The 12,058-nt window shown below is 41.0% G+C and overlaps 1 protein-coding gene across 3 annotated transcripts in view; it reads right to left on the reverse strand.

Moving 5' to 3' along the window:
- IGSF11 (immunoglobulin superfamily member 11) overlaps nucleotides 1–12,058 on the reverse strand; it is a 245,464-nt gene that overhangs the window by 203,211 nt on the left and 30,195 nt on the right. For 2 of the 3 annotated variants that reach the window (NM_001353322.2, NM_152538.4), the window contains exons 2-3: nucleotides 8,883–9,011; nucleotides 1,377–1,438 (exon numbers count right to left, since the gene is read on the reverse strand). In NM_001353322.2, coding sequence (NP_001340251.1) covers nucleotides 1,377–1,425 — 49 coding nt within the window. In that variant the 5' untranslated portion in view covers nucleotides 1,426–1,438; nucleotides 8,883–9,011. The remainder of the gene's footprint in view (nucleotides 1–1,376; nucleotides 1,439–8,882; nucleotides 9,012–12,058) is intronic. The other variant, NM_001353320.2, reaches the window with a different exon arrangement.

The following is a 12,058-nucleotide window of genomic DNA, read 5'->3' on the forward strand; positions in this document are numbered from 1 at the left end:
TTCTTACTAGTATTGACTTGAGTGGGTTAAGGAGACTTCCACTACCATCTTCCCATAATTCCAAATAAGGAATTGTTGGGTATTTCCCCAGTTTTGCTTGAGTTATACAGATGCAAGCAGCACCTAACTGTATCTGCCAATACTCCTCTTCACCCATAACTGCTCTTGGTAATGCCCCCTCATATATTGTGGCTAAGGTTTATAGGTTTCATCTAGTTTTTTTAAAAAGATGAAATTTACATTTCTGTTTTTTGTTCTTACCTTGGATTGATTTCTGAGAGAATAGGAGGACAGTACCGTATTTACTTAGCCATTTTTAAAATAGAAATTTCTATAATAAGGTCATCTTAGTCGCCCAATTTCCAATCCCCTCCTCAATCCATTTTTGCCAATTACAACCAGCATGATCTAAAGTGCAAGTCTAATTTTGTCAATACCCTGCAAGAAATCATTTGATGACTCTGCATATTCTTGGAATAAAAGCTAAACATCTCTATATGTCCCCTATCTACCTCTCCTGCCTCATCTATTATTACCCAGCCCCTTCACACTCAATATTACAACATATCGAATTTCTTTTAGTTATTCAAACTCCCCGTAATCTGCTATGCCTCCAAGCATGTAATATGTTCTTCTCTTTGCCTGGAATAGGCTTCTCCTGACACTGATCACTCCCATTCACTTCTTAAATCTTAATAACCCTTCAGCTCTCAGCATAGTAATAATAAGCTTCCATTTTTTATTATTTACAAAAGCACTGTGCTAAGCAATTTCTATGTATTAACTCATTTATTTTCACAGCTAGCCAATGAAGTGAGTGGTATTATTGTCTCTATTTTAAATATAAGAAAATTGAACCTTTAAAAGGTTATGAAACTTGTATAAGGAAACAGAACTAGTAAATGTTGTAGCTGCAACTGAACTCCAGCACTCCAAAGGCCTTAGAACAACAAACTGACTATACATTTTACTATATTTATGTCACTTCTCCTTACCCTTCAGCTTTGGGTTATGTGCTTCTTCTACAGGCACCAATAGCTGTTTATACTTCTCCCATCATAGCTCTTAACACAGTGTGTTATAATTGCATTGCTTATTTTCTTATCAGAGTCACCCTCCAGCATATGCATTCTCAACGTTAAGAATTCTGTCTTATTTCTTATTGAATCCACAGTGCCTGACACATAGCAAGGGCTCAATAAATATTTTTTGAAAGAAAAAATGATTTTTCCCAGGACTTAGAAATGGAAGATTTTTTTTAGTAGTAGGAGAATATACATAGAAGTTAGTATCACAAAAAGCCTTTCACTCAGCCAGGCCATAAGAGATAATAACCACTAATAGTAATAAAACTTTTCCAATGTCAAGTCACTAACCAGTTCTAGAAAAGCAGTTCCACCAGAGCAAAAGTTCCACCAGAGACATTTATTCTTCTTGCCTGAGGAAGGTGAGAACAGGGGAAGAGAGACTTTATGTCATCATAACATTATATGTATTTCATTTTTTAAAATTTTTAAATAGTTTATTTTAGGAAAACCTTCTTGGGTACAGGATTTGGAGCCATAACAAAATATTAGGATGGAAACCATTTCATCAGACCAATTAATCACACAGAAACTTTAATAGGAGAATGGATTAACTAAAGCTACCCCAAACTAGATCTGTATGGGATTACCCACAGTTGTATCAAGATGGATCAGGGTAATAGAATGGATACTACTTTTCCACCATGGCTGCAACCATCCAGAGACTTTGACCTTCTTTATCTCCTATATTACTCCTTGTAGTAGGTCACCTGCATCAGTCACAACTTATCAAAACAGTAACACACTTATCCAATTTTCTTTAGTAATTTAAAACTTCCTCTGACATAAATGGTGAGGAGTAAAAAAGTTACAAGCTCTTTCAGATTAGGAAACCACACATACCATACATGAAGTCCTTTAGCTTGCAAGATGGCATTTACTGATTTTTTTCCTCAATCTGGATGAGCACTCCCAATGCCCATATCCAGGTCTTTCTCAGCCTAGATTCCTTTGGCCTACCACCACAAAATAGGGCTAAATTCTCTCTCACTTTAGTTAAGGTCCCTTTTTGCCCTTTCTTACTCCAAAAATTAAATTATACTTCTTTTCTTTTTTATACTCCCCTTGAACCCCAACCAACAAGCTTTCTGGATCTCTTTCTACACGGAGGCAAAAAATTGGTTCATACTTATTTGTCATATTACAAACATATTGAATGCAAAACATATATAGAGCAAAGGGATCACACATTTAAGGATCCACGTTAAGAGGTATGTCTGCCATAATTCCCTGCATCCTCTTGATTTATTTATGGGATATATGAGATATTTTGATACAGGCATACAATGTACAATAATAACATCATGGTAGATGGCATATCCATCACCTCAAGCATTTATCCTTTGTGTTTCAAACAATCCATTTATACTTTTTTAGTTGTTTTTAAGGATGCAATTAAATTGTTATTGACTATAGTCACCCAGTTATACTATCAAATAGTAGGTTTTATTCATTCTTTCTAACTATTTTTTGTACCCATTAACCATCACCATTTCCCCCCGAACTTCCCACTACCCTTCCCAGCCTCTGGTAACCATTTTTATACCCTCTATCTCCACAAGTTCAATTGTTTTCGTTTCTAGCTCCCACAAATAAGTAAGAAATTTGCTTTTCTCTGCCTGGTTTACTTCACCTGACATAATGACCTACAGTTCCATCCATGTTGTCAAAAATAACAGGACTTCATTCTTTTTTATGGCTGAATAGTACTCCATTGTATACATGTCCCACATTTTTTTTTATTATTATTACACTTCAAGTTTTAGGGTACATGTGCACAACGTGCGGGTTAGTTACATATGTATACATGAGCCATGCTGGTGTGCTGCACCCATTAACTCGTCGTTTAGCATCAGGTATATCTCCTAATGCTATCCCTCCCCCCTCCTCCCACCCCACAACAGTCCCCACAGTGTGATGTTCCCCTTCCTGTGTCCATGTGTTCTCATTGTTCAATTCCCACCTATGAGTGAGAACATGCAGTGTTTGGTTTTTTGTCCTTGAGATAGTTTACTGAGAATGATGATTTCCAATTTCATCCATGTCCCTACAAAGGACATGAACTCATCATTTTTTATGGCTGCATAGTATTCTATGGTGTATATGGTTCACATTTTCTTAAACCAGTCTATCATTGTTGGACATTTGGGTTGGTTCCAAGTCTTTGCTATTGTAAATAGTGCCACAATCAACATACGTGTGCATGTGTCTTTATAGCAGCATGATTTATAGTCCTTTGGGTATATACTCAGTAATGGGATGGCTGGGTCAAATAGTATTTCTTGTTCTAGATCCCTGAGGAATCACCACACTGACTTCCACAATGGTTGAACTAGTTTACAGTCCCACCAACAGTGTAAAAGTGTTCCTATTTCTCCACATCCTCTCCAGCACCTGTTGTTTCCTGACTCTTCAATGATCACCATTCTAACTGGTGTGAGATGGTATCTCATTGTGGTTTTGATTTGCATTTCTCTGATGGCCAGTGATGATGAGCATTTTTCATATGTCTTTTGGCTGCATAAATGTCTTCTTTTGAGAAGTGTCTGTTCATATCCTTCACCCACTTTTTGATGGGGTTGTTTGTTTTTTTCTTGTAAATTTGTTTGAGTTCATTGTAGATTCTGGATATTAGCCCTTTGTCAGGTGAGTAGGTTGCGAAAATTTTCTCCCATTCTGTAGGTTGCCTGTTCACTCTGATGGTAGTTTCTTTTGCTGTGCAGAAGCTCTTTAGTTTAATTAGATCCCATTTGTCAATTTTGGCTTTTGTTGCCATTGCTTTTGGTGTTTTAGACATGAAGCTCTTGCCCATGCCTATGTCCTGAATGGTAATGCCTAGGTTTTCTTCTAGGGTTTTTATGGTTTTAGGTCTAACATTTAAGTCTTTAATCCACCTTGAATTAATTTTTCTATAAGGTGTAAGGAAGGGATCCAGTTTCAGCTTTCTACATATGGCTAGCCAGTTTTCCCAGCACCATTTATTAAATAGGGAATCCTTTCCCCATTGCTTGTTTTTCTCAGGTTTGTCAAAGATCAGATAGTTGTAGATATGCGGCGTTATTTCTGAGGGCTCTGTTCTGTTCCATTGATCTATATCTCTGTTTTGGTACCAGTACCATGCTGTTTTGGTTACTGTAGCCTTGTAGTATAGTTTGAAGTCAGGTAGTGTGATGCCTCCAGCTTTATTCTTTTGGCTTAGGATTGACTTGGCAATGCGGGCTCTTTTTTGGTTCCATATGAACTTTAAAGTAGTTTTTTCCAATTCTGTGAAGAAAGTCATTGGTAGCTTGATGGGGATGACATTGAATCTATAAATTACCTTGGGCAGTATGGCCATTTTCACGATATTGATTCTTCCTACCCATGAGCATGGAATGTTCTTCCATTTGTTTATATCCTCTTTTATTTCCTTGAGCAGTGGTTTGTAGTTGTCCTTGAAGAGGTCCTTCACATCTCTTGTAAGTTGGATTCCTAAGTATTTTATTCTCTTTGAAGCAATTGTGAATGGGAGTTCACTCATGATTTGGCTCTCTGTTTGTCTGTTATTGGTGTATAAGAATGCTTGTGATTTTTGTACATTGATTTTGTATCCTGAGACTTTGCTGAAGTTGCTTATCAGCTTGAGGAGATTTTGGGCTGAGACGATGGGGTTTTCTAGATATACAATCATGTCATCTGCAAACAGGGACAATTTGACTTCCTCTTTTCCTAATTGAATACCCTTTATTTCCTTCTCCTGCCTGATTGCCCTGGCCAGAACTTCCAACACTATGTTGAATAGGAGTGGTGAGAGAGGGCCTCCCTGTCTTGTGCCAGTTTTCAAAGGGAATGCTTCCAGCTTTTGCCCATTCAGTATGATATTGGCTGTGGGTTTGTCATAGATAGCTCTTATTATTTTGAGATACGTCCCATCAATACCTAATTTATTGAGAGTTTTTAGCATGAAGGGTTGTTGAATTTTGTCAAAGGCTTTTTCTGCATCTATTGAGATACTCATGTGGTTTTTGTCTTTGGTTCTGTTTATATGCTGGATTACATTTATTGATTTGCATATATTGAACCAGCCTTGCATCCCAGGGATGAAGCCCACTTGATCATGGTGGATAAGCTTTTTGATGTGCTGCTGGATTCAGTTTGCCAGTATTTTATTGAGGATTTTTGCATCAATGTTCATCAAGGATATTGGTCTAAAATTCTCTTTTTTGGTTGTGTCTCTGCCCGGCTTTGGTATCAGGATGATGCTGGCCTCATAAAATGAGTTAGGGAGGATTCCCTCTTTTTCTATTGATTGGAATAGTTTCAGAAGGAATGGTACCAGTTCCTCCTTGTACCTCTGGTAGAATTCGGCTGTGAATCCATCTGGTCCTGGACTCTTTTTGGTTGGTAAGCTATTGATTATTGCCACAATTTCAGATCCTGTTATTGGTCTATTCAGAGATTCAACTTCTTCCTGGTTTAGTCTTCGGAGAGTGTATGTGTCGAGGAATTTATCCATTTCTTCTAGATTTTCTAGTTTATTTGCGTAGAGGTGTTTGTAGTATTCTCTGATGGTAGTTTGTAATTCTGAGGGATCGGTGGTGATATCCCCTTTATCATTTTTTATTGCGTCTATTTGATTCTTCTCTCTTTTTTTCTTTATTAGTCTTGCTAGTGGTCTATGAATTTTGTTGATCCTTTCGAAAAACCAGCTCCTGGATTCATTAATTTTTTGAAGGGTTTTTTGTGTCTCTATTTCCTTCAGTTCTGCTCTGATCTTAGTTATTTCTTGCCTTCTGCTAGCTTTTGAATGTATTTGCTCTTGCTTGTCTAGTTCTTTTAATTGTGATGTTAGGGTGTCAATTTTGGATCTTTCCTGCTTTCTCTTGTGGGCATTTAATGCTATAAATTTCCCTCTACACACTGCTTTGAATGTGTCCCAGAGATTCTGGTATGTTGTGTCTTTGTTCTCGTTGGTTTCAAAGAACATCTTTATTTCTGCCTTCCCTTCGTTATGTACCCAGTAGTCATTCAGGAGCAGGTTGTTCAGTTTCCATGTAGTTGAGCGGTTTTGAGTGAGTTTCTTAATCCTGAGTTCTAGTTTGATTGCACTGTGGTCTGAGAGACACTTTGTTATAATTTCTGTTCTGTCACATTTGTTGAGGAGAGCTTTACTTCCAACTATGTGGTCAATTTTGGAATAGGTGTGGTGTGGTGCTGAAAAAAATGTATATTCTGTTGATTTGGGGTGGAGAGTTCTGTAGATGTCTATTAGGTCCGCTTGGTGCAGAGCTGAGTTCAATTCCTGGGTATCCTTGTCAACTTTCTGTCTTGTAGATCTGACTAATGTTGACAGTGGGGTGTTAAAGTCTCCCATTATTATTGTGTGGGAGTCTAAGTCTCTTTGTAGGTCACTCAGGACTTGCTTTATGAATCTGGGTGCTCCTGTATTGGGTGCATATATATTTAGGATAGTTAGCTCTTCTTGTTGAATTGATCCCTTTAGCATTATGTAATGGCCTTCTTTGTCTCTTTTGATCTTTGTTGGTTTAAAGTCTGTTTTATCAGAGACTAGGATTACAACCCCTGCCTTTTTTTGTTTTCCATTTGCTTGGTAGATCTTCCTCCACCCTTTTATTTTGAGCCTATGTGTGTCTCTGCACGTGAGATGGCTTTCCTGAATACAGCACACTGATGGGTCTTCACTCTTTATCCAATTTGCCAGTCTGTGTCTTTTAATTGGAGCATTTAGTCCATTTACATTTAAAGTTAATATTGTTATGTGTGAATTTGGTCCTGTCATTATGATGTTAGCTCGTTATTTTGCTCATTAGTTGATGCAGTTTCTTCCTAGTCTTGATGGTCTTTACATTTTGGCATGATTTTGCAGCGGCTGGTACCAGTTGTTCCTTTCCATGTTTAGTGCTTCCTTCAGGAGCTCTTTTAGGGCAGGCCTGGTGGTGACAAAATCTCTCAGCATTTGCTTGTCTGTAAAGTATTTTATTTCTCCTTCACTTATGAAGCTTAGTTTGGCTGGATATGAAATTCTGGGTTGAAAATTCTTTTCTTTAAGAATGTTGAATATTGGCCCCCACTCTCTTCTGGCTTGTAGAGTTTCTGCCGAGAGATCCGCTATTAGTCTGATGGGCTTCCCTTTGTGGGTAACCCGACCTTTTTCTCTGGCTGCCCTTAACATTTTTTCCTTCATTTCAACTTTGGTGAATCTGACAATTATGTGTCTTGGAGTTGCTCTTCTCGAGGAGTATCTTTATGGCGTTCTCTGTATTTCCTGTATCTGAATGTTGGCCTGCCTTGCTAGATTGGGGAAGTTCTCCTGGATAATATCCTGCAGAGTGTTTTCCAACTTGGTTCCATTCTCCCCATCACTTTCAGGTACACCAATCAGACGTAGATTTGGTCTTTCCACATAGACCCATATTTCTTGGAGGCTTTGTTCGTTTCTTTTTATTCTTTTTTCTCTAAACTTCCCTTCTTGCTTCATTTCATTCATTTCATCTTCCATCACTGATACCCTTTCTTCCAGTTGATCGCATCAGCTCCTGAGGCTTCTGCATTCTTCACGTAGTTCTTGAGCCTCGGCTTTCAGCTCCATCAGTTCCTTTAAGCACTTCTCTGTATTGGTTATTCTAGTCATATATTCATCTAAATTTTTTTCAAAGTTTTCAACTTCTTTGCCTTTGGTTTGAATTTCCTCCTGTAGGTTGGAGTAGTTTGATCATCTGAAGCCTTCTTCTCTCAACTCGTCAAAGTCATTCTCCGTCCAGCTTTGTTCGGTTGCTGGTGAGGAACTGCGTTCCTTTGGAGGAGGAGAGGCGCTCTGCTTTTTAGAGTTTCCAGTTTTTCTGCTCTGTTGTTTCCCCATCTTTGTGGTTTTATCTACTTTTGGTCTTTGATGATGGTGATGTACAGATGGGTTTTTGGTGTGGATGTTCTTTCTGTTTGTTAGTTTTCCTTCTAACAGACAGGACCCTCAACTGCAGGACTGTTGGAGTTTGCTAGAGGTCCACTCCAGACCCTGTTTGCCTGGGTATCAGCAGCGGTGCCTGCAGACCAGCGGATTTTCGTGAACCACGAATGCTGCTGTCTGATCGTTCCTCTGGAAGTTTTGTCTCAGAGGAGTACCCAGCTGTGTGAGGTGTCAGTCTGCCCCCACTGGGTGGTGCCTCCCAGTTAGGCTGCTCGGGGGTCAGGGGTCTGGGACCCACTTGAGGAGGCAGTCTGCCCATTCTCAGATCTCAAGCTGCGTACTGGGAGAACCACTGCTCTCTTCAAAGCTGTCAGACAGGGACATTTAAGACTGCAGAGGCTACTGCTGTCTTTTTGTTTGTCTGTGCCCTGCCCCCAGAGGTGGAGCCTACAGAGGCAGGCAGGCCTCCTTGAGCTGTGGTGGGCTCCACCCAGCTCGAGCTTCCCGCCTGCTTTGTTTACTTAAGCAAGCCTGGGCAATGGTGGGCGCCCCTCCCCCAGCCTCTCTGCCACCTTGCAGTTTGATCTCAGAGTGTTGTGCTAGCAATCAGCGAGACTCTGTGGGCGTAGGACCCTCCGAGCCATGTGCGGGATATAATCTCCTGGTGTGCCGTTTCCTAAGCCTGTTGGAAAAGCGCAGTATTTGGGTGGGAGTGACCCGATTTTCCAGGTGCCGTCTGTCACCCCTTTCCTTGACCAGGAAAGGGAACTCCCTGACCCCTTGCGCTTCCCGAGTGAGGCAATGCCTTGCCCTGCTTTGGCTCGTGCATGGTACGCTGCACCCACTGTCCTGCGCCCACTGTCTGGCACTCCCTAGTAAGATGAACCCAGTACCTCAGATGGAAATGCAGAAATCACCTGTCTTCTGTGTCGCTCACACTGGGAGCTGTAGACCGGAGCTGTTCCTATTCGGCCATCTTGGCTCCTCCCACCATATGTCCTGCATTTTCTTTATCCATTCATCTGTTGATGAACACATAGTGTATTAGTCCATTCTCACATTGCTATAAAGAACTACCTGAGTCTGGGTAATTTATAAAGAAAAGAGCTTCAGTTCGCTCACAGTTCTGCAGGATGTACAGAAAGCATGGCAGAGGAGGCCTCAGGAAACTTACAATCATGACAGAAAGTGAAGAGGAAGCAGACATGTCCTACATGGCTAGAGAAGGAGGAAGAGAACAAAGGGGGAGGTGCTACACACTTTTAAACAACCATATCTCATGAGGTCTCTCAGATGTCACTACCATGAGAACAGCAAGAGAGAAGTCTGCCCCACGATCCAATTACATCCCACCAGGCACCTCCTCTAACACTGGGGATTATAATTTGACATGAGATTTGGGTGGGGACAGAAATACAAAACATATCATTCCACCCCTGGCCCCTCCCAAATCTCATTTTCTTCTCCCATTTCATAATACAATTATGCCTTCCCAATAGTCCCCCAAAGTCTTAACTCATTCCAGCATTAACTCAGAAGTCCACAGTCCAAAGTCTCATCTGAGACAAGGCAAGTCCCTAACTCAAAACCAGTTAGTTATTTACAAGATACAATGAGGATATGGGCATTGGAAAAATACTCCTGTTCCAAAAGGAAGAGACTGGCCAAAACAAAGGAGCTACAGGTCCCATGGAAGTCCAAAACCCAGGATGACACTCATTAAATCTTAAAGCTTCAAAATAACCTCCTTTGACTCCCTGTCTCACATCCAGGCCATGTTGATGCAACAGGTGGGCTCCCAAGGCCTCGGGCAGCTCCACCCCTGTGGCTCTGCAAGGTACAGCCCCCATGACTGCTTTCAGAGGCTAGGGTGGAGTGCCTGCAGCTTTTCTAGGCACATGGTGCAAGCTGTCGATGGATCTACCATTCTGGGGTGTGGAGGATGGTGACCCTCTTCTCACAGCTCCACTAGGCAGTGCCCCAGTGGGGACTCTGTGTGAGGTCTCAAACCCCACATTTCCCCTCTGCACTGCCCTAGTAGAGGTTCTCCATGAGGGCTCTGCCCCTGCAGCAGACTTCTGTCTGGATATCCAGGTATTTCCATACGTCCTCTGAAATCTAAGCGGAGGTTCCCAAGCCTCAACTCTTAGCCTCTGCACACCCACAGGCTTAACACCATGTGGAAACCACCAAGGCTTACAGATTGCATCCTTTGAAGCAGTGACCTGAGACATATCTGGGGCCCTTTTAGCTACAGCTGGAGCTGGAGCAGCTAGGATGCAAGGAGCAGTGTCCTGATGTGGTACAGGGCAGCAGGGCCCTGGGCCCAGCCCATGGCCCATGAAACCTAAGCCTCCAGGCCTGTGATGGGAGGGGCTGCTGCAAAGGTATCTAAAATGCCTTCAAGGCATTTTCCCCATTGTCTTGGCTATTGACATTTGTCTCCTCCTTACTTATGCAAATTTCTGCAGCCAGCTTGAATTCGTCCCCAGAAAATGGGTTTTTCCTTTTTGCCACATGGCCAAGCTGCAAATTTTCCAAACTTTTATACTCTGTTACCCTTTTAAATATAAGTTCTAATTCCAGGTCATTTCTTTGCTCACAAATATAAGCCTAGGCTGCTAGAAGTAGCCAGTTCACTCTTGAACATTTTGTCACTTAGAAATTTCTTCCGCCAGACGCCCTAAATCATCCTTCTCAAGGTCAAAGTTCCACAGATCCCTAGGGCAGAGGCACAATGCCTCCAACCTCTTTGATAACACATAACAAAAGTGATCTTTGCTACAGTTCCCAATAAGTTCCTCGTTTCCTTCTGAGACCACCTCAGCCTGGACTTCCTTGTCCTTTTCACTATCAGCATTTTGGTTACAATAGTTTAACAAGTCTCTAGGAAGTTCCAAACTTTCCCTCATCTTCTTGTCTTTTTCTGAGCCCTCCCAAATGTTCTAACTTTTGCCTGTTACCCAGTTTCAAAGTTGCTTCCACATTTTCAGGTATCTTTATAGCAATGCCCCACTCTTAGGTACCAATTTTCTGTATTAGTTCATTCTCGCATTGCTATCAAGAAGTACCTAACACTGGGTAATTTATAGAGAGGTTTAATTGCCTCACAGTTCCATAGGCTGTACAGGAAACATGGCTGGGGAGGCCTCAGGAAACTTATAATCATGATGGAAGGCAAAGGGGAAGCAGACATGTCCTACATGGCTGGAGCAGGAGGAAGAGAGTAAAGGGGGAGGTGCTACACACTTTAAAATAACCAGATCTCAGTCACTATCACAAGAACAGTAAGGAAGAAGCCCATCCCCATGGTTCAATCATCAACACCAGGTCCCTCCTTGAACATTGGGGTTACAATTCAATATGAGATTTGGGTGAGGACACAAATCCAAACCATATCCCTCAGGTTGCTTCCAAATATTGGCTATTGTAAATAGTGCTGCAATAAACATGAAAGTGCAGCTATCTCTTTGATACATTGGGTTTCCTTGCTTTGGGGTATATACCTAGCAGTGGGATTACTGGATCATAAGGTAGCGCTATTTTTAGTTTTTTGAGGAACCTCCAAACCTTTCTCCATAGTGGGTGTACTAATTTACAGTCCCACCAACAGGGTACAAGGGTTCCCTTTTCCTCACATCCTTGGCAGCATTTGTTAATTGCCTGTCTTTTGGATAAAAGCCATTTTAACTGAGGTGAGATGATATCTCATTGAAGTTTTGATTTGCATTTCTCTGATGATCAATTATGTTGAGCACCTTTTCATATACCTGTTTGCCATTTGTATGTCTTCTTTTGAGAAATGTCTATTCAGATTGTTTGCCCATTTTTAACTGCATTATCAGATTTTTTCCTATAGAGTTGTTTGGGTCCCTTATATAATCTGGTAACTAATCCCTTGTTAGATGAATAGTTGCAAATATTTTCTCTCATTCTGTGGGTTGTCTCTTCACTTCGTTGACTGTTTCCTTTTCGGTGAAGCTTTTTAATTTAATATAATCCCATATGTCCAAAAATAGAGAAATCTTAACTAATAAATGTACAATCTATATAATCTTCTAAAATGAGG

The sequence above is a fragment of the Homo sapiens genome, chromosome 3 (assembly GCF_000001405.40).
Source record: "Homo sapiens chromosome 3, GRCh38.p14 Primary Assembly".
NCBI classification, from domain to species: domain Eukaryota; kingdom Metazoa; phylum Chordata; class Mammalia; order Primates; family Hominidae; genus Homo; species Homo sapiens.